This window comes from Homo sapiens, chromosome 5, assembly GCF_000001405.40.
Source record: "Homo sapiens chromosome 5, GRCh38.p14 Primary Assembly".
In the NCBI taxonomy this organism is placed as follows: domain Eukaryota; kingdom Metazoa; phylum Chordata; class Mammalia; order Primates; family Hominidae; genus Homo; species Homo sapiens.
The window spans coordinates 146,030,929-146,054,219 of record NC_000005.10 but is presented as its reverse complement, the minus strand read 5'-3'; the positions used below and the strand labels follow the sequence as shown (position 1 = coordinate 146,054,219).

The 23,291-nt window shown below is 43.7% G+C and overlaps 1 protein-coding gene and 2 long non-coding RNA genes across 7 annotated transcripts in view, besides 1 other annotated feature; 2 read left to right on the top strand and 1 right to left on the bottom strand.

Moving 5' to 3' along the window:
* Positions 1 to 23,291, top strand: part of LOC107986458 (uncharacterized) — a 131,758-nt gene that overhangs the window by 13,239 nt on the left and 95,228 nt on the right. The gene's annotated exons all lie outside the window — the stretch shown is intronic.
* Positions 1 to 23,291, bottom strand: part of SH3RF2 (SH3 domain containing ring finger 2) — a 145,196-nt gene that overhangs the window by 27,554 nt on the left and 94,351 nt on the right. For all 5 annotated transcript variants that reach the window (XM_006714757.2, XM_011537568.3, XM_017009136.2 and 2 more), the window contains exons 6-7: positions 6,357 to 6,448; positions 4,975 to 5,145 (exon numbers count right to left, since the gene is read on the bottom strand). In XM_006714757.2, coding sequence (XP_006714820.1) covers positions 4,975 to 5,145; positions 6,357 to 6,448 — 263 coding nt within the window. The remainder of the gene's footprint in view (positions 1 to 4,974; positions 5,146 to 6,356; positions 6,449 to 23,291) is intronic.
* Positions 5,047 to 5,547: an enhancer, noted in NCBI's record as "H3K4me1 hESC enhancer chr5:145428236-145428736 (GRCh37/hg19 assembly coordinates)". NCBI's record gives its function as "activates a minimal SCP1, AML or CMV promoter by ChIP-STARR-seq in primed H9 embryonic stem cells {active_cell/tissue: H9 hESC(primed)}" and the evidence as "EXISTENCE:reporter gene assay evidence [ECO:0000049][PMID:30033119]".
* On the top strand, positions 11,279 to 11,814 carry LOC107986459 (uncharacterized). Its single transcript, XR_001742914.2, has 2 exons — positions 11,279 to 11,335; positions 11,416 to 11,814. It is a non-coding gene; the product is annotated as an uncharacterized LOC107986459 (long non-coding RNA).

Here is a 23,291-nt window from a genome sequence, read left to right as displayed (position 1 = left end):
GTCTCCCATCCAACACTGAGTGCCTCTATGTCTTTTGGCAGAAAGCTCAGCACTTATCTAGCACTTTCTTCCAATGTCAAAACACTTTGCTATCATATATTAACCCCCAGGACACCCCCAGACCTGCAGACATTATGATCTTTGTTTTCCAGATGGAGAGACTGAAAAGCATTCTGGGCTTAGGTGGGAAGAGTGGATGTTGCCTCTGATTTGCTCCACCGTGCAGGTCCCTGCGTCCTTTTCTCTAACTGGGATGTTAGCCCTTAAGAGCTGGCCCAATATTCAAAAAGGGCATCACAAACAGCAGCTCTACTGTGTTCACCACTGGCAGCAGCCTCCCAGTAAGGAGAACAGTTGGATCTTGACAATTTTTGTATAGCTTTGTGTAGAGTTAAAGGCAAATGAGTGGTGGCCCATTTGTCACTTTTCTCCACCCATAAGGCACCAGGTAGGCATATGTCTGCGAAAGTTGCAAGAAAGAGGAAGATCCTGGCTAATTGGGCAGAAGGGTATTTATTAGGAGGACAGGAAGAAGAGTAGAGGACTTGGAAACAAGATCCAAGGAAGCTACAGGGAGCTCAGCAGCAGGAAGAGTCCAATCATATGCTGTGGCTGGTGTTCTCACATCGAGTGGTCTTCAACTTTGCCCCCATCTTTTCCTCCCTTGTTCAAGTTTCCAAATCCCAAGAGGGAATGTCATATTGGCTGAGACTGACCCTTAGCTGTGGTGATGAGTTGAGGAGGAGGAGGATTGCATTTCTTCAGCCTCTGAAAAGAAAGGAAACCTCTGCCTCCCACCAAGACTACACACAATAGAGGAGACCCAAAGGGATGTTGCCGCTATTAAAGGGGGATTTAGATGCTGGACAGATGAAAACTTGACAAATGTTCTATATAACCTGAGCCAATGAAAGTCTCCAGGATCTGGGAAGAGGCAACATGGTGGCAGAGATTTAGTTGTGGTCAATAACAGCTGGACAGGTTGGTGTCATCATCTAGCACCGAGGGCTGGACCACAGAATAGCACAACAGCCTTTTCCTCTCCTGGTAGCTGAAAGGCTCACTTGCTGGCTCTTAAATTGAAATCCTAGCATTCTAGTCAATTATAATCTCTAGTTTATCCCCAAATTCTGGGTGGCTCAGTTCATTAGGTGATGATGTTAATAAGAGCATAGGTTCAAATGCTCACACCTTTGGGCCCTGGCTGTTTTATAAAAGGCTGCAGTACACACCAAGGGGGCTGGATGGCAGTGAAGAGCCATCATTATAAACAGAAGACAAAGGCTAGGGGGAAAAGGACCCAAACACAGAGAATCAAAGAACAGAAAGGGGCCTAGCACATGTAGCCCAATCCACTCAGTTCTTACACAAAACTTGCTAATAATAATAGTAGGAACTCAGCTGAAAAGGACAGTATTATTCATCCCTGAGACATGGGAAGAAGTAAACTTCCCACCAAGGAAATGGTGGTTAAGAACAAGGGTCACCTGCACACAGATAGATGGACTGGGTATGTATCATTCATGTGGGAGATTAGTGGGGATGGGAGCCTTTTTTTGCATTAGAGAGATCATCAAGGAAAAAGTATAAACACAGTGAAAGCATTGATCCTCTGCCACCTAAGAACCCTCAGGAGCGTATCCTCTAATAGGCACTTGTTCTTCCTGAGAATGTTGGTTCCCCATAAACAAAACCATGCCTCAATGTTAGTAGCACCTCAATATTTGCATATGTTCAGATTTCCCTGAACTGGGAGTGAGGGGAGAACTCAATGGCAATCTATTGTGCTGAAACTCCATCTGTTGCCTGACATGTAGGCATCTCAGAAGGGGTGAGTAGAGATGCTCATGACTTGCCCAAGAACACAATAGACCGACCTTGGCCAAGGAGAGAAATGAAAACTGGAGCCTTGAAATACACTGGGATGAAATTCTACACACACTCTATTTAGGATGACCACACGGCTTGATTTTCCCGGGAGAGTTTCAGCTGATACCTGCCCAAAAGTGTCCTAATTTGGATGATAAAGCATATGGTCACCCTTATTCTATTGAGTCTTTGATGGTATAACCAGGATTTAGGACTAAGGCCTGATGTATAAGCAAATGCCCTAGTCGTGGGGATGGGCCCTGGGGAATTCATTTTAAAGCCATGGAAGAAACCGTTCATGAATTAGGGTAGGCATCCTCCTTGCTCCTCACTGTCAGTTCTAGGCCATTTCCCACACTCCTCAATACTTCCCAGCTTTGACTCATATTATCAGACTTGACTACCCACCACTCCACCTTCCTGCAGTCAGCATTTACTCTCCAAGTCTCTCCTCTCACTCCTTGAAGATTTCAGCTTCTGGCTCGTTGTCATTCTCTGGATACAACTCATCCCACCATGATGATCTCATCTCGTTTCAGGGCTTTAAATAGCATCTCAAGGCTGGAGCTCTCTCTTAAATGCTAAACTCATGTATTCAACTGCTTACCAACACCTTTACTTGGATTATTAAGAGACATCTCAGGCTTAGTCTGCTGTGAACTAAGCTTTTACTTCCCTCCATACCCCAAAACATGCTCGTTTTATGGAGCAGTCACTATCTCATTTAAAGGCAACTCCATCTTGCAGTCACTCAGGAAAAAAAAACTTGCTCTCACCTTGGATCCTCTATTCTTTCACACCTGACATTTTATCTTTTAGAAAACCCTGTTGTCTAAGATGTATTCAGAATCTAACCACTTCTCCCTACCTCCACAGCTAACACTTCGGTTCAATTCACCATCACCTCTCCCCAGGATTATGATATCTTCTTAGCTAGTTTTTCTGCTTCCCCCTTTTCCTTTGTATAGTTTATTCTCAATCCAGCAAATACAGGGATTCTGGTTAAACACAACTAAGATTATGTTACTCTTCTGCTCAAAACCCAGCAACAGGCTTAAAGCTAAACCCTTCATTATGACCTAGGAAATTCTTTATGACCTGGCTACCCCATTACCATTCTGGCTTCCTTTCTAATATCCCCCTTGCTTGCTCTAATCCAATCCTGTTGGCTTCATGTAACCTCTGCCCTCCCAGTTGAAGCGATTCTCCTGCCCCAGCCTCCCCAGTAGCTGGGATTACAGGTGTCCACCACCACGTCTGGCTACTTTTTGTATTTTTAGTAGAGATGAGGTTTCACCATGTTGGCCAGGCTGGTTTCAAACTCCTGACCTCAGGTGATCCACCCACCTCAGCCTCCCAAAGTGTTAGGATTACAGGCATGAGCCACTGCACCTGGACTACTACAGGTCTTTTGTTTGTACTTGCTGTGTCTTTAGTCTGGACATTTGCCTCAGAGATCCACATGGCTTGGCTCCTGCTTTCCTTCTTACTTCTCAGCAAAGCCATCCCTCACCAACCTATCTAAAATTGTAACCACCCCCAAAAATTCTATCCTCCTTTTCTGATTTTTTTGTTAGCCAGTATAATTAACACATCATAAAGATTACTTAAATATCTTGGTTTTAAAAATTTGTCTCTCCCACTAGAATGTAAGCTTCTGTAAGCAGGAATTTTGTATATTTTGTTTACTGGTATTTCTCCAGTGCCTGGAAAAGTTCCTGCCATGTAGTTAGCACTCAATATTTGCCAATTAAATGAATTAAAGCATCAATTATAGACCTCAGTTTGCCCTTGGATATTTTACAACTTTGTAACAAATTTCAAGAACTTTTCTTTGAAAGGAAAAGCTATGATCTTTTATCCTGACTTTCTGCCATGTGAAGAAATCTTTTTATACAACTTTAGATCTATGAGGACTCAGGCCGACTTTGCCTGCACTCTTTCTAAAAAGAGAGTCCACCACCTCACCAGCTAGCCTGGTTGGAAAAATCTATGGGCTAGAAAAAGCTGCCTTTTATTGAACCAAGATGTTCTTGAACGTCTTGGTTTACTGAACCAAGACCAGTTGCATACACTGATCCACTCCACTGCCCCCTCTCAGAACAAATTTACTGCCCTGTTGACACAGTGTATTGTGATCCCTCTGTCCCTTGTCTTCTACAGGTTAAATAACCCCAGTTTCTTTATCGGTTTCTGCTATGATATAGTTTGCTGTCTCCTCACCATTCTTGCTGCCCTCCTCCGGACGTGGCAGCTCACCTAAATGAAGGTCCCCAAAAGTGGGCATATGACTAGGTCTGACCCGCACAGAATACAATGGGGCTCTTTCCCTGTGATTGTGACCCTCTGGTATGTCATAAAGACAGTGTTGGATGTGTGGTGGTAGCCTCACTGCCTTGAGACAGGGTTTGCTTGGGCTGATCGGGGGTGGAGGCAGGAGGAGTCATGGATAGTTTTGGGGTCTAGGTGCATTTGTGGCAGTGGTATGAGGTGGTAAGACAAAGAGGGGGTCAATGACATGAACAGTATGCCACACAATGTAAGAGATCGGGAAAAGCGGTGAGGGAGGAGGCCCTGCAGGGTTACTAGCATTTCATCTTGGGTGTGGAGGAAGAGGTAGGGGTCTCAGTTCATGGAAACTCTGATTAGGGGTCACTCTAGCAGCCTGAGAAGTTTCCCGAGGTGCTCTGGGGAAGTCATCTGACCACATTTTCCCATCACGCCACTAGATGGAGCATTGGGATAGAGGATGTGAAGTGGGGTTCCTGGGATTTGTGCAGAAGAAAACCTGACATCCAGTTCTTGAGCAAGTTGCTTAACTCTGCACACCATTTTCATCTGTAACATAATATCTACCTTAGAGGATTCTTGGGCACAGCCTGTGAGCTAAGAGATACAAAAGTGCTTGTAAGCTGTGAAGGGCTACGAAAAAGATAACTAGTTTTGCTATTTTGTTTTAAAAGAGATAGGCGGGTTATAGAGCAAAAAGCGCTTTCTTGGCCTGTTTTCTGAAAGAGCACTGGGTCTTCCACCAGTTCAACCCACAGATGGCCCCTGGCCTAGGGTGGCCCAACCTCCCAAAGTCTGGGATTGGAGGCGACACACCTGAAAATGGGGATGACGTAATTGTTTGGGAAGATGCCGACTCGCCCGGTGACCAAGGAGACGCCCCTGAGCCAGCCGTCCTGGCACTTCCCCAGGACCCTGACGCCTTCTCCCTTTTGCAGGTCCAGCTCATCGGGTCCATGGGCTGAGTAGGAGTGCAGGGCTACAAACCTGGGAAGACACAGAGAACTGGTGAGGGAGGAAGGAAGACGTGCCTGATGGGGGGCATGGAGTGGGGGAATGGTGGAGAGAGACTGCCCAGTGGTTAGCAATAAGAACCTTCTTGGTCGAGCGGGTGCGGTGGTTCTCACCTCTAATCCCAGCAGTTCGGGAGGCCAAGGCAGGTGGATCACCTGAGGTCAGGAGTTCGAGACCAGCCTGGCCAACATGGTGAAATACCATCTCTACTAAAAATACAAAAAATTAGCTGTGACTGAAGTCCACACAGGAATCAGGCAGGTAATATCCAAGTATGAGTCAGGGGGTAAAGACAATCAGGACTGATGAGGCTGTGGAGGTGGGAATAGCTACCTGATCAAAGGCATTCAGGAAACAATCCATTGGTTTGCCAGATTCAGGGATCACCAGTATATGGCCTCCAGGCATCTCAGACATCAGGAAGTCCCTCCAGACTCCAAGGACTGTGAGACATTGGAGCGTTTTATCAAAGGGAATGGGGGAGTGTTCTCTACAAGGTTTTTTTTGTTTTGTTTTTTCTTTCTAAAATGCTATATTTATTTTTTGCTGTTTACTAAACAACATGTATTTATGACCCAACATTTTGAATCTAAAGCAAGACAATAGAAATTGCTCAATACCCAATCTCCCAGTGATGTTGTGGTATATAATCTTCCAGTCTCTTTCTACTTTTGTAAAATAATGAGCTAAGAGTGATGTGGTTTGCTAATTTGTGTTGTCTTTTTTTTTTTTTGAGACAGGGTCTCACTCTGTGGCCCAGGCTGGAGAGCAGTGGGATGATCATAGCTCACTGATGCCTCAAACTCCTGGGCTCAACCCATCCTCCTGCCTCAGCCTCCTAAGTAGCTAGGAAAATATATGTGCACAACCATTCCTGGCTAATTTTTAAATTTTTTTTGTAGAGATGAGGTCTCACTATGTTGCTCAGGCAGGTTTGGAACTCCTGGGTTCAAGCAATCCTCCTGCCTCAGCTTACTGAAGTGCTGGGATTACAGGTGTGAGCCACTGCGCCTGGCCCTAATTTCTGTTTTTCACCATTATTTCACTTGGAAGTGGTAAAGGAAGGCGACCTATTGTCTCTGGATGGGATGTTTTGGGAATGGTGATGCTAGATCACCACTGTACATGGTAAAGATGACCCCTTTGTGCCAGGACTTGGGTGAAGGGATGAGCCTTTTACTCACATGTTCGCTGAGAGGTGTTGCTGGGAGCCAGGCAGACTGACCACGGCTGTGGAATGTCCTGGAGAGACAGGTGCGGGGTGATAAGTGCTGACCTGCACAGACAGAAAAGACAGCCAAGCAGAACCAATGAATGCCACAACCCAGGCCCACAGCAAACAGAGCAGCTACGTAGAAAGACCTGACACAGCTGAAAACCAACAGCCATGCCTGGTGCCACCCATTGTGCGTCCTCTCTGTGGTTTGTGGCTGTGGGCACAGGGAGGTGGGGAGGAGCTGGTTTATGGCCTGGTGGGGTGGCTTGCCAGGACTGCATTCCAAAAGCCTGCTCAGATAGGGTGGAAGATGAAGAGCCGTCCAATTTACAGTCCACAGGGCACTACACAGGCTCCTCCTCCTGTCCCTCTCCCCACCCCACCCATCTCCCTCTATGAAAACCTGCTCTTGGAAAATGAAATGGTGGCTAATATTGATTCAGAACTGAGCAATTACTAGGCAGTTTTAAGTACTCTATAAGTATCAGCTAAGTTAATCCTTATTAAAGGAATTGTTATAATCCCCATATTTGGATGAGAAACTGAGACAAAGAGGGAAAGAAAGGTCACACAATTAGTATGAAACAAAGAAAATCTAAAATCAGGTAGTCCAAGTTCTGAGCCCATATTCTTATTATTGACTATTGCTAGAAACACACACACACACACACACACACGCCTATCCAATGACTTATAGTAGTTGAATTTGAATCCCTTTCACTTTTCTAGGATAAAAGAGGAAACAATAATGATAAAATGATAAAAGCTCCTGGAAGGCCGGGCTCAGTGCCTCATGCCTATAAACCTAGCACTTTGGGAAGCTGAGCTGGGAGAATCGCTTGAACCAGGAATTCTAGACCAGCCTGGGAAACATAGTAAGATCCCATCTCTTTTAAAAAAATTAGCTGGGTGTGATGGCAGGTGCCTGTCATTCCAGCTACTCAGGAGGCTGAGATGGGAAGTTCGCTTGAGCCTGGGAGGTCAAGGTTACAGTGAGCCATGGTTGTGCCACTGCACTCCAACCTGGGTGAAAGAGTGAGACCCTATCTCAAAAAAAAAAAAAAGTTCCTGTAAACTGCCTACTATCCTAGGGCTTTGGCAAACATATTGCCTTGCTTATTTCCTTCTGAGCACATATCACAGATTATGAGTGTTTCCTTGCTAGACTGTAAATTCCATGAGGGCAGGGACTATGTAAGTCTGGTTCATCATTGTATTTCTGCATGCTCAATACGTACTTGTAGCTTAAAGAACAAAGGAATGAGTGAAGGAATGAATGAAAAGGTCTTCCTACCTAGTACACCAAGGATAATGAAACCTTCTCCATGCCATCCAGAGTAAATACATTCAGTCTGTTTTCAGTCATCTACTGATAAATGATGGTAACTCTGTGTGTGCCTTTTTAGGACTATGCTTTTGTGGGTACAACTATTGTTTGTGTATTTGTGTTTATGTAGGTATGAGTGTGTTATTAAATACATATGTCCCTTTGTTTTGAGCAAACATGTATGTTTGCTCAAGGCCCATGGCAATTTAATGTACATGTGTGATGGCATTGGTCCATTGCAAATCTTGTTTTGTTCACACATGTGGTCTATGGATTGATGTGTGTATGCTATATGTGCTGATGTGGGATTGCAGACACAATTGTATAAAGGATTGTGATTATGAGATTCTGTGTGTATGTATGTGAACTCTAGAGGTGTGTACGAGTATGCCCACCACGTAATTTTGTACATGTGTCTACGTCAATGATTGCGTAAATGTATGTGTGGTCATGTATGTAATTGTGACAGTCCAAAGATCAAGTTGTAGGATCAAAAAACCACTTTAGTCAAATAATAAGTGTTGGGGAGGAGGTATAAAAATGGAAACCCTCATACATTGCTGGTTGGAATGTAAAATGGTACAGCCTCTATGCAGAACAGTCTGGCAATTCCTAATATGATTAAACATAGGATTACCATATGACCCAGTAAATCTGTTTCTAGTGTATGCTCAAAAGAAATGAAAACATGTGTCCACACAAAAACTTATAGGCAAATGTTTCAGCAGCATTATTCATAATAACCCAAAGCGGGAAACAACTCAAATGTCTACTCATTAATGAGTGGATAAACAAAATATGGTACAACCATACAATGAAATATTATTCAGCCATAAAGAAGAATGAAGTATTGATACATAAGAGAACATGGATGAACCTTGAAAACATTATGCTAAGTGAAAGAAGCCAGACACAAAAGACCACATATTAGTTGATTCCATTTATATGAAATGTCCAGAATAAGTCAATCTACAGAGATAGAAAATAGATGATAATTTCCAAGGGTTGGGATGATGGGGAATATGAGGTGATAGCTAAACGGCACAAGGTTTCTTTTTGAAGTGATAGAATATCCTAAAATTGTAATGGTAATGGCTATACATCTGTGAATATACTAAAAACCACTGAGTTGTACACCTTAAATGGGTGAATTGTATGGTAGGTGAATGATATCTCAATAATAAAGCATTAAGAAGAATGAAACCATTCCACAATCACCCTCCTGAGGAACTCTTAGCACTGCATAAAGTGTTCTGAGTTTGTAATCAGATATTGTCACACTGGTTCCTTCAAACAGACATGACAAGGAGCTGGCTTTGGGCTAGGCTGCTCCTTGCCTATGATTGGGGAAGGTTAAACCCCTACAGGGCTTATGTATGTGGAAACTGTTGGAACACTGATTAAATGGGATGGACTTCACTTAACACTCTTGGATTTCCAATATTATGTTTGAGTAAAAGAACTGCTATCCACAAACACCATTAATCCTTTAGGGAGGCAGAAAAGGCCAGAATGCAAAGCCATCTTTTCATTACACTAGGGTCTGTCTTTTTACTTCTCTGGGCCTTTATCTGGGGAGGGCATGTTTCCCCCACTTGGAACAGTGAGCCTGGCCAGGACAGTAACCTGTGGGCTTGTGATGACATTATTTCTAATAGGGAATGGGAAAGGATGTTAGCTTCTCAGGTTTTAAAGTGTCCTGGAGGAGAAGAGAAAGGACGACATGAGAAGGAGACAATGAAGAAGAGGGGTGAGGGGGAGATAGTGGAAGACCCTGAGAATGGCATAGGGTAAAACTGGGACAGAGATACTGTGGGAGAACGATAGCTGCAGAGGGACAGAGGGAGGAAGGAAGGAGAAGAGAGGGAGATAAAAACAGTTTGGAGAAACTCTCACAATACATTCATAAGAAGACAAAGAACCCAATAAAAATGGGCAACAGATACCACAGAAGATGATATATTGAGTGGCCAATAAATACATAAAAATATGCTCAACATCAATAATTACCAGGGAAATGCAAATTAAAAGCACTGTGAGATACCACTACACACTGATGAGAATGGCTAAAATCAAAAAAGACCAACCAGCACTTTGGGAGGCCGAGGTGGGCGGATCATGAGGTCAGGAGTTTGAGACTAGCCTGACCAACATGGTGAAACCCTGTCTCTACTAAACATACAAAAATTAGCTGGGGGTGGTGGCATGCGCCTGTAATTCCAGCTACTCAGGAGGCTGAGGCAGGAGAATCGCTTGAACCCAGGAGGCAGAGATTACAGTGAGCCGAGATCATGCCCTTGCACTCTAGCCTGGGTGACAGAGCGAGACTCTGTCTTAAAAACAAAAAAAAAAAAACAAAAAAAAACAAAAACGGACCAATCATACCAAGTGTTGGTGAGGATGTGGAGCACCTGCAACTCTCATACCCTTCCAATGGGAATGCAAAATGGTACAGGCCATGTTGGAAAACAGATTGGCCATTTTTTATAAAGTTAATCATACACTTTTCATACTACTCAGCAATTGTACTCACAAATATTTACTTAAGAGCAATGAAAACATATGTCCATAGAAGGACCTGTACACGAATGTTCAGAGCAACTTCATTCATTTTAACAAAAAACTAGAAACACCCCCAAATGCCCATCACCTGGTGAATCAAGAGGCGAATTGTGGTATAACCACAGCGGTGTACTCCTCAGTGATACATGCAACAGCGGGATGAATCTTAACATCACCCTAAATGAAAGATGCAGGACACTGAAGACTATACACTATATAATGCCAATTATATAAAATGTTTTAAAAATAAGCCATAACTATAGTGACAGAAAACAGATTAAGGGTTGCCAAGAGCCAGGGTGGGGAGACAGGATTGATAGCAAAGGGGCACAAGAGAGCTTTTTGAGATGATGCAAACATCTGGTATCTTGATGTTGGTAGTGATTACATGCTGTATATGTTTACCAAAAGTTTTTGAACTGTATACTCAAAATGCTTAAGTGTTATTGTATATAATTAAACCTCAGTAAAGCTGTTAAAAAACGTGAATACATTATCTAGTTAAGGCCACAGGAAACATCCAAGAGGCCTTAGCTTGACTCAGCTCGAGGTCTGGAATTAGGGAAGGGGATGAGAATCGCTCAGCTTCATAGAGGGCAGCTAGCAAGTAACCCTCATGGTAGGGGGCCACCTGAATAGGAGAGAAACCAAGAATGGGAACCTATGGATCAGAGGCTCAATCAATAAGGCAAAGGAAAAATGAACGAATGAATGACTGGAGAGACAGGAAAAGAGAACAAGATAGACATAGGCAGAGAAGAGAGAAACTGGGTGGGAAAGAAGACAGGCAGAACAAGACAGAAAGGAAGGCCCCACCCAGTAAGTGAAGATAACCAGACAGATGGCCAGCTTCTGAGGAGGCAAGTCTGCTCCTGTCACTGGGATCGAAGAAGGAGGCCCAGCCTTTCTGAATGAATGGGCCTGGCCCTGGTTCCTTTCCCTGGGGTCAATTGTGACCTCAGGTGCCTGTGCCACAAGGAGTTTGTGAGGCTGGATGGGAGGTTCTCCACCAACTGATGCTCCCTGGCACAGGGTTCCGAGTCCTGAGCCAGATCGGGGTAAGTAAGGGTGTGCGGGTGTGGTGGGGAAGGGCATTCTTGCTGAAATCTAAACACATTTTTTTCCCTCCCTTTTGAAGGAAATGACTCACTTAAAAGAAGTCTTTATCAACCACAGCAGAATCCACAGTTATATGGCTTCTGGGAATTTCCAGGTTTTCAGGTGCTAAGTGAGGGAGGAAGAGGGTATGAAGCCTCCTGGCACAGAGTTGCTGGCAATGCTCTGCCCTGCTGGCCCTGCTGCCTTCACCATCAGCCACTCAGGTATAGAAAATGCAGCTACCTCTTAGGAGTCCAGAGAGGAGGTCTAACTTAGGACTCAGGCCAGTGGCTCTACCATCTACCAGAACCTGTGATCTTGGACAAGTGATTGAATTCTGTGGATCCTCCATTTCTTCAAAATCGATAAAATGGGGCAATAATGGTATTTCTCTCTTAGAGTTGTTATGAGGGTTAAATAAAGTAATCCATATAAACTATTTAGCACAGGGTTTGACGCAATGTAAGTGCTCAATAGATATTACTTATTTTGATCTGCAAAGAGATTAGTTACTGCATAGGGTGGGGACAGAGTGGGTGGGGTGCCTTTTATGGTACAGCCTGGCAAGGTCTTGGACTGAGAGCAGGACCCAAGAATGTGGTGGGCATGGGGAAGAGTGTCTGTAGCAACCTTGCTTCTCTCTTCTAGCAGAAAACCTCTCCACCTTTCCAAATGTAAGTTTGTTTTTCTCCATCCCATGCCGTGGCTCTCAGCTATTTCCTCCAGGGCTCTTGCCTTGCGGTAACTTGGCGGGTATGGGGTGACTGTCTTCCCCAGCAAAGTGTGAACTACTCTAGAGCTGGTATGGCACTACACTTGGTATTCCCCAAAACTAACAAGGGCCTTGAACCTACAGTGTTCACTCAGAGTTGAGAGAAGGGCTACATTTTATTTTATTTATTTTTTATTTTTTTGAGACAGGGTCTTGCTTTGTCACCCAGGCTAGAGTGCCATGGTGCAATCATGGCTCACTGCAGCCTCAACCTCCCGGGTTCAATCGATCCTCCCGCCTCAGCCTCCTGAGTGGCTGGGACTACAGATGTGCATCACCATGCTCAGACAGTTTTTTGTATTTTTTGTAGAAATGGGGTTCCACCACGTTGCCCAGGCTGGTCTCCAACTCCTGGGCCCAGGTGATACGTCCTCGGCCTCCCAAAGTGCTGGGATTACAAGCATGAGCCACTGCGCCTGGCCTAGGGCTGCATTTTAGAGATAGAAAATTAGGTATTGGTAGTTTCTGTACCCACCACTAGGGACAATCTGGAGTTGACCATCTGACTTTATAAAGTTAAAAGCTCATTCCCTTCTATAGACTCAAAACAAGTTAAGAGCCACATTTGGTAATTGCTGTGTGTGGACCTTATTGGGTCCTAGGCACCGTGCTAGGCACTGGGGTTACTGCAATAAGCAGGACACGCAGGGCTCCGTTCTCATGTGGAGCTCACAGTGTATGCCAGGAAGCTCCTGTAACATACTGTGTAACATACTCATACTCAGTGACACCTATAACTATGCTGTGTAAGCCTGAGCGTGTTGGGGTCGGGGAAGATCAGGACGCTCTGGGAGCTAGCACAAGAGGCTTGCCTGGACCTCCAAGGGCTGCTTCACCCTCACATGCTATGACTCCAGTGCTAATTTATACATGGGCCCCATGGTCATTATCCCCATTTTTATAGATGGAGAAACTGAGATAAAAAGATTTCACAATTTTCAGGAAGTGGCCAAATGGGTGGACAGCTTGATGCCAGAAGCAAGGACCCTAGGCTCAGAGTCCTTTCTGTAGAGCCCAAGGTTAACATGTCCAGATCTCAGTGTGGCTAAAGGGGTCATACGGAGGAGGCATGTGTGTTTATGCTCGTGGACAGGATGACCACCGTTCCTGTCACGTGTCCCTAGTAATATGGAATAGGTCTGCAGGCAAGTGGAATATGAAGCTGTCTGTGCTTGTTTTTCTTGTCCTTTCCCTGGCAGGGCAGAGCAGAGGGAGTCAGAGCTTCGGCTGCCAGGAGGCTATCAGCCCTTCTCTATCTACGCCTATTTCAGAGCCAGCCCTGCCTGCAACCCTCCCTGTTCTTGATGAGCAAGGAGCAGCCACCCAGAGCTATTTATTTGTCCTGAGAGTAAAAACACTGTCTGAGATAGAGAACTCATTTATGAGCTGTCAGCAGGTCCCTTTAGGTTCATCTCAAAAATACTTTTTTTTCTGAAGTACACGGCCAGGTCTGCAGGGGTTATATTGCATAACTCTGTGAAGACTACTGAATTTACAGTTCCCAAGTAGTCATCAAAATTTGGAAGATCCTCTGTGATCTGCTCCAGTTTTGCTCTCCAGCCTCACCTTTCTCCATTCCCTTCCCCCTCAACTTCAGTGGGGTCTTTTCTTAGCTCTTTGAGCAGGCCACACCCCTGACCTTGCACTTCTCCTGGCCACCCCCCTACCTGTTACTTCCCACTTCCCACTTCTGGTCTGACTGTAACTTCCCTTTGTTATTAAAATGTAAAATTATAAATATATTTTGCATACGGATAAGTATATATATTTTGTGTGTCATTTAAAGAATAATAATATAACAGATACCTGCATACATACCACCCGTAAAACAGACACCTGCATACATACCACCCAACTTAAGAAATACAATAAAAATAGAAGTTGAATATTGTGCTTAGAAGCCCTCTGCATATTCCCCCATAATCAAGTCTCTCTCCCAAGTTATCCCAGAGGTAGCTACAATGCTGAAGTTTGTGTTAATCATTCCAAGTCTTTTCTATGTTGTTACCACCTTGGCATATATCCCTAAACAGTATGTTGTTTAGTTTTGTCTATCTGTGAACATTGTATGAATGGACTCACAATGTGTGTATTCTGTGACTTGCATCTTTTGCTTAACAGGAAGTTTTCGCATATATTTGTGGCTAATTTTCACTGCTGATTCTTACATTTCGTTCTGTGTCTATACCACCATTTAACCATTCTGTCAGTTATGTGTCATTTGGGCAATTTTCAGTTTGGGGCTGTTATGAGTGATGTTACTATGAACATTTTTGTACATGTCCCCTGTGCACATGGGCAAGAATTTCTCCAGGATATGCGTCTAGGAGTGGAATTGATGGGCCAAAGGGTATGAGCCTGTTCAGTTTTATTGGGCAATAACACACTGTTTCCCAATGTGGCTGTAACAATTTACACTTCCACCAGCAGTGAATGACAATTACTGTTACCCCACAGTCTCACCAGCATGTGGTAAGGCCTGGCTTTTTAATACCTGCTGATTGGGTGGGTGTGAAATGCTATCTGATTGTGGTTTTAAATTAATTTCTCTGAGTACCAGTGAGCTTTAGTTTGTTTTTTTTTTTCAAATATTTATGGGCCATTCTTGTTATATGAAATGCCTGTTCATGCCCTTCGTATCCCGCTCTTCCATGGGGTTATTTATTATTTTTGTATTAAATTATGGAGTTCTAATATATTGGATATGAATTCTTTGTAGCTTGTATTTTTACTCTGTGGTGTCTTTTGATGAACTGAAGTTCTGATTTTTCATATAGTCAAATTCACAATATATTTCCTATGGTTCACGTTTTTAAACAGTCTTCAATAAGTTTTTTTTCCTCCCAAGGTCATAAGGATATACTTCTATACTGTCTTCTAAAAGTTTTATAGTTTTGCCTTTCACATTTAAGTCTTTAATCCACCTGGAATTGATTTTTGACAAGGGAGGAATCCAATTTCATCTTTTTCCTCATGGATACCCAATTAGCCCAGCACCATAGTTCATCCTTCCCTTCTGATCTGCAAAGTCTGCTCTGTCATAAATCAAGCCTCTATGCTGTGTCTGTTTCTAGGTTCTCCAGCATGTTCCATTGGTTTAATAGAATCCCTATGCTAGATCCATGCCATCTTAATTAGCTTTGAAATAAAAATGGAAATCTGATTGGGTAAGTCCAATTCTTTACCCCAACCAAATTCCATCTTCTTCGTCAGAAGTGTCTTGGCACTTGGCGTTTTTGTTCTTCCATTTGAATCTTAGAATCACCTTTTGAGTTTCATAAAAACAAACAGCAAACAGACCCACTGGGATTTGAATTCATGGTTAAATTTGGGGGAGAAGCAACATCTTTAAATATTAAGTTGTCCCATCCAAGAACATTGCATAATTCTCCACTTATGTTAGAGCCTCTTTAATGTCTTTCAATGATGTTTTATAAATTTTCTCAATAAAGGTCTTGCATGTCTTGTTATATTTATTCCTAGAGATTTAAACAATTTAGTTGCTCCTGTTAATGGTACCTTTTTAAAAATCATTTTTCTATTTAGTGTACAGAGATGAACTTGACTTTCTTATATTGATTTGTATTCAGCAACCTTGATAAGCTCATGTTTATTCCCATTACATTTTTTCTAGATTCTTTTGAGTTCTCTATATAGACAATAGTATCATCTGCAAATAATGACAGTTATATTTCTTCCTTTCAAAGACTTAACCTTTTACTTCTTTTTCCTGCCTTACTGTGCTGGCCAGGCCCTCTGGGACAGTGTTGAGCAGAAACATGAAAATGGGCATTTTGTTCTTTTTTTTAATCTTAAAGGAAATGCCTTCAACATTTCACCATTAAGTATGATGTTTGCCACTGATTTAAATAGATTCCATTAATCACATTAAGTAAGTTTCTTTTTATTCCTAGTTTGCTAAGACTTTTTAATATATAATGAATGGACATAAAATTTTATCAAACATTTTCTGTACCTATTGAAAATATCACATTTTTTTCTCCTTTAATCTGTTAATGTGATAAAATATATCAGTTAATTTTCTAATGCTAAACCAACCATTCAATCTTGGAGAAAAACCCAACTTGATCATGATATATGCCATTTCCCTGCATTTCTGGGTTTGTTTTCCTAACATATACTTGAGGATTTTTGCATCTGTGTTCCTGAGTGAAGCAGAACTATACTTTTCCTTTCTTATGTTGTCTTTTCCTGGTTTTGATAGTAAGGCTATCCTAATCTTATGAAGTGAGTCGGGGAAAGTTTTCTTCCATTCTTTGGAAGAATTTATATAATAGTTAAATTATCTCTTCCTTGAAAGTGTGAAAGAACTCACCAGTAAATCTGTCTGGGTCTGGAGTTTTCTGTATAGGAAGATTTTAAATTGCTGATTCTATTTCTTAAATGCTTACAATGTTATTCTGAAGGGTTTTTAAGAGTTGTTTACCAGATGTAAAATGTTTTTCCATAAGCCCTGTTTGTTGAAGAGAAGTTCCTGTGGGAACATTTGCCAGGTGGCCTCCCTGTTGGGGAGAAAAGGTGGTACTTAGAGTATCTACATAGAACCTTGGAAAACCCCAGCCAATGCGGACCCCCCATACATCATCAATTCAAGTCCTTAGAGCACCCGAGAGTCCCAGTGCCTTACTTAAAAGGAACCCCATGGGAGCAGTCACAGTTAGGAGGACTTTTGTAGCTTCTTGAGGCACTATGCAGCCACGGCTAACAGAATGGACTTTTGGGGCTGTCTGATGTGGGTTTGAGCTTTGGCATTGTAACTTATTGGCTGTGGGAGGCTCAGACTTAATCCCTCTGAGCCTTGTTTCCTTATCTACGAAAGGGGGCAAGAATAGTGGCTACCTCATGAGGTTCTTGTGAGGGTTCAATCAGAACATGCAAGCAAAGTGCTTTGCATAATGTCCGGCTCACATGAGGTACCCAATAAATGGTTACCATTGTCACTATTATGACATAGGAGACATACAAAGCAGATGTCTGGGGAGAAGAAGCAGACAGTAGGACTTCCTCAGTTGGACTGGATTTAAGAAGGAAAGATTCATTCTCTAGGATACAAAGGCCAGCCACCACAGTCCAGATTGCCTTTGAGGAAGACCCAGTGAGGGGTGGCTTAGCCCAAGTGTGGGGACATGTATTTAGGAGTCTTTCTTCCTTTTCCCCGGTGCTAGGTTGACCATTCTCATGGATCCTGAGGCTTCCATCCCTGGCACTTCCCCATAGCTATGCTCTGCATTAGCTTTTTGGGAAAAAGCAGAAAATGCAACCCACACTTCAAACCACAAAGACAAATATGCTTTCCCCATTGGTTGGGCACAGAATGTCTCCTGCCCTGCCACTCCCTTGCTGTTTTCTCTTTTTTTTAGATAGAGTTTCGCTCTGTCACCCAGACTGGAGTGCAGTGACGTGATCTCGGCTCACTGCAACCTCTGCCTGCCATGTTCCAGCAATTCTCGTGCCTCAGCCTCCAGAATAGCTGGGATTACAGGCGTGTGTCACCAGGCCCAGCTAGTTTTTGTATTTTTAGTAGAAATGGGGATTTGCCATGTTGGCCAGGCTGGTCTCGAACTCCTGACCTCAAGTGATCCACCCGCCTCAGCCTCCCAAAGTGCTGGGATTACAGGCGTGAGCCACCATGCCTGGCCATATAAAAACAATTTTTATTTTAAGTAGAGACAATGTCTCACTATGTTGCCCAGGCTGGTCTCAAACTCCTGAGCTCAAGCGATCCTCCTGCCTCAGCCTCTGTAGCTGATACCACGGGTGTGAGCCACTGCGTCTGGTCTCCCCTGCTATTTTCTACCTCATGCTTTCCTGAGCCCAAGGGTCCTGCTGCTTTCAAAGCAGAGTTTGGGCATCAAAGCAGAGTGTGATGGGATGGGTACTCTTAGGGCTTTTTGAAATGCCAGGGTACACAGAAGTCTTAATTATAACCCTTGCCCTCCTCATCCTAACAGTCCACTTGAAGAAGTAACTGTTTGGCAGTAATTATGGTTAAATCCTCTCACCAGGCCTCATTAAAGGCCACAAAAACTTAAGTATGCAAAGTTTCTCTGAAGTCTGCTGCAGTTCTCCTCACGGCATTTACTCACAGAAGATGCTTGTAAAGCATCTGCCAGGTACCAAGCACCGTGCTAGGCCTGGGGGATCCGTGATGAGGCCACTGCACTCACAGACAGTGGAGACTGTGCCTCAAACCTACTATCTGTCCTACCCCAGGCTCCTGCCCTCACATTCCCCAGACAAGAGTATCCCAAAGATGGGCAGTCTCTGGACATCTAGAAATTTCCATGCTCCACTCACCTCTCGTATGGACTGAAGGACCTACGTCCTTATAAAGTAGCTTTTTATGGTGGAGATATTGGTGATGGAGGTTATTTTCTGAACTAAGGAATGTGGACCCACAAGGAGAGGTGGATGAGGGAAAGCAGCAGACCAAAACAGGAGACATGGGAGCATAACTGTTAGGAACTTGGGTTCTGAATTCAGATGTCCCTGGGTATGGGTCCCCACTTTGCTATGCTTTCACCGACCGTGTAACCCTGGGCAAGTTATTTAACCTGCCTGGCCCTAAATTCCTTCATCTGGTTTAGGGACGCTTTTTTCCTAAGGACTTGTCAATTTTTTAAAATCTAAGGTGTCACTTCAGGGGAGATGGCTGGTGAAGCAAACTGAAGTCAGAATGAAAAAAAGTTAAAAAAAAAGTTAATTAAAAAAAATCCCTTCTAAGGAATTTAGTGAGCCCAGAAATAATTTAGCAATGTCAAGTTCATCTCAGCATCTTCAGAAAATTTACTTTCTGCCATGTGTTTGTTGTCTCTTATTTTAAAATTTTCTCAAATGATATTACAGCGACAACAACGAACATTTTTATTTTAAAAAAGAGAAAAAAAAATCGCCTACCACCACCACCCATTATCAAAGCAGTTGTCTCTGTTCTTTTTTTTTTTTTGAAACAGAGTCTCACTTCATCGCCCAGGCTGGAGTACAGTGGCACAATCTCAGCTCACTGCAATCTCCACTTCTCGGGTTCAAGCAATTCTCTTGCTTCAGCCTCCTGAGTAGCCGAGATTACAGGGGTGCACTACCACGCCTGGCTAACTTTTGTATTTTTAGTAGAGATGGGGTTTCACCATGTTGGCCAGGCTGGTCTCCAGCTCTGACCTCAAGTGATTCACCTGCCTTGGCCTCCCAAAGTTCTAGGATTACAGGTGTGAGCCACTGCACCTGGCCTCTGTTCTTTTTTGAGTAACTGAGTGCCCTCGATAAATGAAGGATTTACATTCTTGGAAACCTAGGCTCCAATGCTCTCATGGTTCCTTGAAACACTCCCTGATACCTTCTTGTTGGCGTGTCTGACTTCATCTTCTGAATTATTATCACTGGATATCCTTGGGAAGACACCTCATACTGAGGCTGAGACCTTGGTTGGTCATAGGACAATTTTTCCTTCTCATAGGATTATTAGAATGTGGCCACAAAGTCCACCAGGGTCCCAGTGAGACAGGCTCAGTGATCTCAGCAAGTGAAAAGGGCATGTGTTTCCAAAGCCATCACTTAAAGCTCCTTCTGGATGGCATGCTTGCTGGCTCTGTGTGGTTCTGCGGAAATCAGAAGTTGTCCTTCATGGTCTCAAATGAGATTTAAACAGTTTTAATTGGCTGTCCCCAGAGACTCACCATCCCTGCCCCGAGGTCCCAGCCTGTGGTGCCTGGAGAGGTTCAGCTACCCTGCAAGCAAGCCCTCTGCTGTCCTCTCCCATCACTGCATGAGCCACACAAGCTCAGGACCCAGGCTGTTTGGGCAATTAATGCAGCTCACTCTTCAGAGCACTGCATTTGATGGGAAATAAAGGGAGAATAAAACCCTTCAGATAATCTTTGTTTCCAGATGTCCTGATATTTTTATCTCATTGTGCTAAAAAGGAAAGAAAATATGCATTTGCATTAAGAAGGGGAGAATCCCTAATTTTGGCCCATCCTTACAACAAACATAATTTTTATTTGTATCCCCACCTTTTAGAACAATACCTAAGCAGTCAGTAAATGTTTGTTGAGTCTGCTTTTAGGAAGATCAGTGTCTACACCATCTGGGATGGATGTGAGAAAACCATCCTTCCAATTGTCTCTTCTGTTGGTAATAAGACTTTCGTAACAACAAACAATGGGGATATATTTGTGGGGGAGGAGTGTTACTTTTGTTCTTTACCTTTTCTTGATATTCCCTAACTCAGCGTCTTTTTCCACAAAACGTGGGTGTCATTTTTCCCACAAAAAGGCTTAGGGCATGGCCAGGTGCAGTGGCTCACGCCTGTAATCTCAGCACTTTGGGAGGCTGAGGTGGGCAGATCACCTGAGATCGGGAGTTCGAGACCAGCCTGACCCACATGGAGAAACCCCGTCTCTAATAATAATACAAAATTAGCTGGGCGTGGTGGTGCGTGCCTGTAATCCCAGCTTCTTGGGAGGCTGAGGCAGGAGAATGGCTTGAACCTGGGAGACGGAGGTTGCAGTGAGCCGAGATCGGGCCTTTGCACTCCAGCCTGGGCAACAAGAGTGAAACTCCATCTCAAAAAAAAAAAAAAAAAAAAAAAAAAAAAAAAAAAAGCTAAGGGCTAGTGCTCATAGATTTTCACTAAGGAAATTCCTGTAACTTCTGGAGAGACATGATTTGGGAATATCTGGTCTCCTCCAATTGACAAATGCTCCTAGGTAAGACAATGTGAAAGACAAAAAAGGTTGAAAAGAAAGCATACTCCTTGCCCTTAAGGAGTGTGTAATCTCACTGAGATAAGATGGGAAAAATGAAAACAGAGTTCCAAAATCAAGAGCTAATGTTTACAGAATACTTGTCAGAGGCCACACATTCCTAAACACTCTATTATCTCATATAATCCTCACAACAAACCAAAGGGCTAAATACCATTATCATCATTTTTCCCATCTGGCGTTGAGAATGTCAAGGCAAAAACATATGATTAGTAACTTGCCCAAGGCCACAGAGCCAGCAAGGAAGCTGAGCTGGGATTCGAACCTACATGATGTGACTGTGACTTCAGAGCCTGTCCTCTCAGCCCTAACTACAGCACACAAGTCCGTGTGTATATTTTGGAGGGAGAATCAGGTGGTGCTGGCTCCAAGGTCTGGAAGGTTCTAGAGGGCAGGAGTCGGTGAGGGCTGGGATTCTCAGAGAAGGGCTTCTTTAGCTCCCTGTGCCTCATTTGCTAGGCTAAGCCAGGAAGGGTTTGCCCCATTTCTGGAACTCTGCAAAGACGCCTGAGAAGAGATTTCCCAGTCATTTCTGTGTTACCAGAGAGAAATGTGATTTATGGGCACACTTGTCTAACTTTCCCAAGGCATAGGCAGTAGGATGTCAGGCTGGGCTTTGGCCCTGAGCTGAGGTTTGGTAAAGCCTGAAGGAGAGCCAAGATAGCATCTGGATTGTCTCTGTCACCACACCTAGTGTCACCTCACCCCTCGGTCACTGGCCAGATGAAATTGCTGCCTCCTATGTAATAGACAACATTTTTTTTCAAGAGTTTTGGTCAGGGAACTCAGGTTCATATTACCTATATGAATCTTGGAAAAATCTGAAGCCCCTTCCCCTGGCTTTAGGATCCTAGTATGTAAGAGCTGAAGATCTTGAAGCCATAAGAGCTTCAAGACCACCCAATTTAATCCTCTGAGGGGAAGTGGCATGCTGAAGGTCATCACCCATGGGGCTTGGCCACAGAGTCAGACCTAAGTCCACCACTGGGAGAGGGTACCATGTCTTGGTAGCTGGTTCAAGAGGTTGGTTTGCTTGACTTGCTTTCCAGACTATGTTTCACTAATTTTCAACAAATATTTATTAGGCTTTCCATGTGCCTCATTCTGTCCTTATGGAGCTTATATTCTAGGGAGATGGCAGGTAAAACAAGATACTCATATACAAAACAAAAACCAAGAAAACAGACGAATAAAATATACACCATAAAGGAAGCAGAGATAGATGATGGGAGACCTACTTTGGATAAAGTGTTTTCCATTCCATGCCCTCCTACCTGGCTGGGGGACCTTGGCTATGAAGTTCATCCAAACCCAACATGCTGCTTGTCTCTTACCCCTGGAGCATGCATCATTGTGAGGTGCTTAGCTTTGGGGTGGGTCTTATATACCTGGGGCACATGGAAGGGATGGTGCTGGGGATGCACCAGCCAAATGTGTATTTTTCCATATATGGGAGGCTACAGTCTTGGATGGTGGCTGCCTGGCCTCAAGCTTAGGGGTGCAGTTGATTTTGTCCTTCTGAGAGAATCCAGCTATCAAAGCACTAAAGCATGGACACACACTCCATGGGGAAGGGTATTGATTACTCTCAAAATCCCCAGGGCTGGCAGGACAAGAGCAAGCAAGGCAAAATGATGACACAGCAGAGCTTGGCATTGCTGCCCCTTATACCCTTTGTGGGCTTGCAGAGAACCCACGGCCTGCATTCACTTCTCACTCACCCACCCTGTTGATCCCTCCCTCCGTCATTCACTTACATACTTATTTCTTTATTAAATTCCTCATTATTATAAGAATTCCCTCACACACTCATTCACATCTTCTTTCTTTCATCAGATTCCTCCATCACTTAATCATTCGTTCAGTCTCTTCTGTTTATTGGCTTATGTACATAGCTATGTATATGTTCACTGGATTTCACTCGCTTCACCACTCATTCATTCAACAAACATTTACTAACCATCTCTTCATGCCAGGCTCAACTGGGCTTAACCCTGGAGGGAGCAGGGGGACATCAGTTACCCTGTCTTTAAGGAGTTGAGGGCATTAAGGTACGCTTAGGTAAATTCCAAAACAAGGTGGGAAGTGACAGAATTCCAACCTGGGGGCATATGTCAATTGTTTGGAAGTGCAGATGGGATGGTGTCCTCCCAGGCATCCAGTGCTCCTTCTTCCCTACAGGGCCCAAAGTGACCAGGCACACACATTCTCACAAAGGCATTAGGGACCTCAGAAGTGGCTAGACCAGAGGAGGGTGTTTGCTTTTTAAAGGAAGAGGCCAATCTTTTAGCCCAGGGATCTGCAAACTCTCTAAAGGGCTAGAAAGTAAATCTTTCAGGCTTTGTGCAAGGTCTCTGTCAC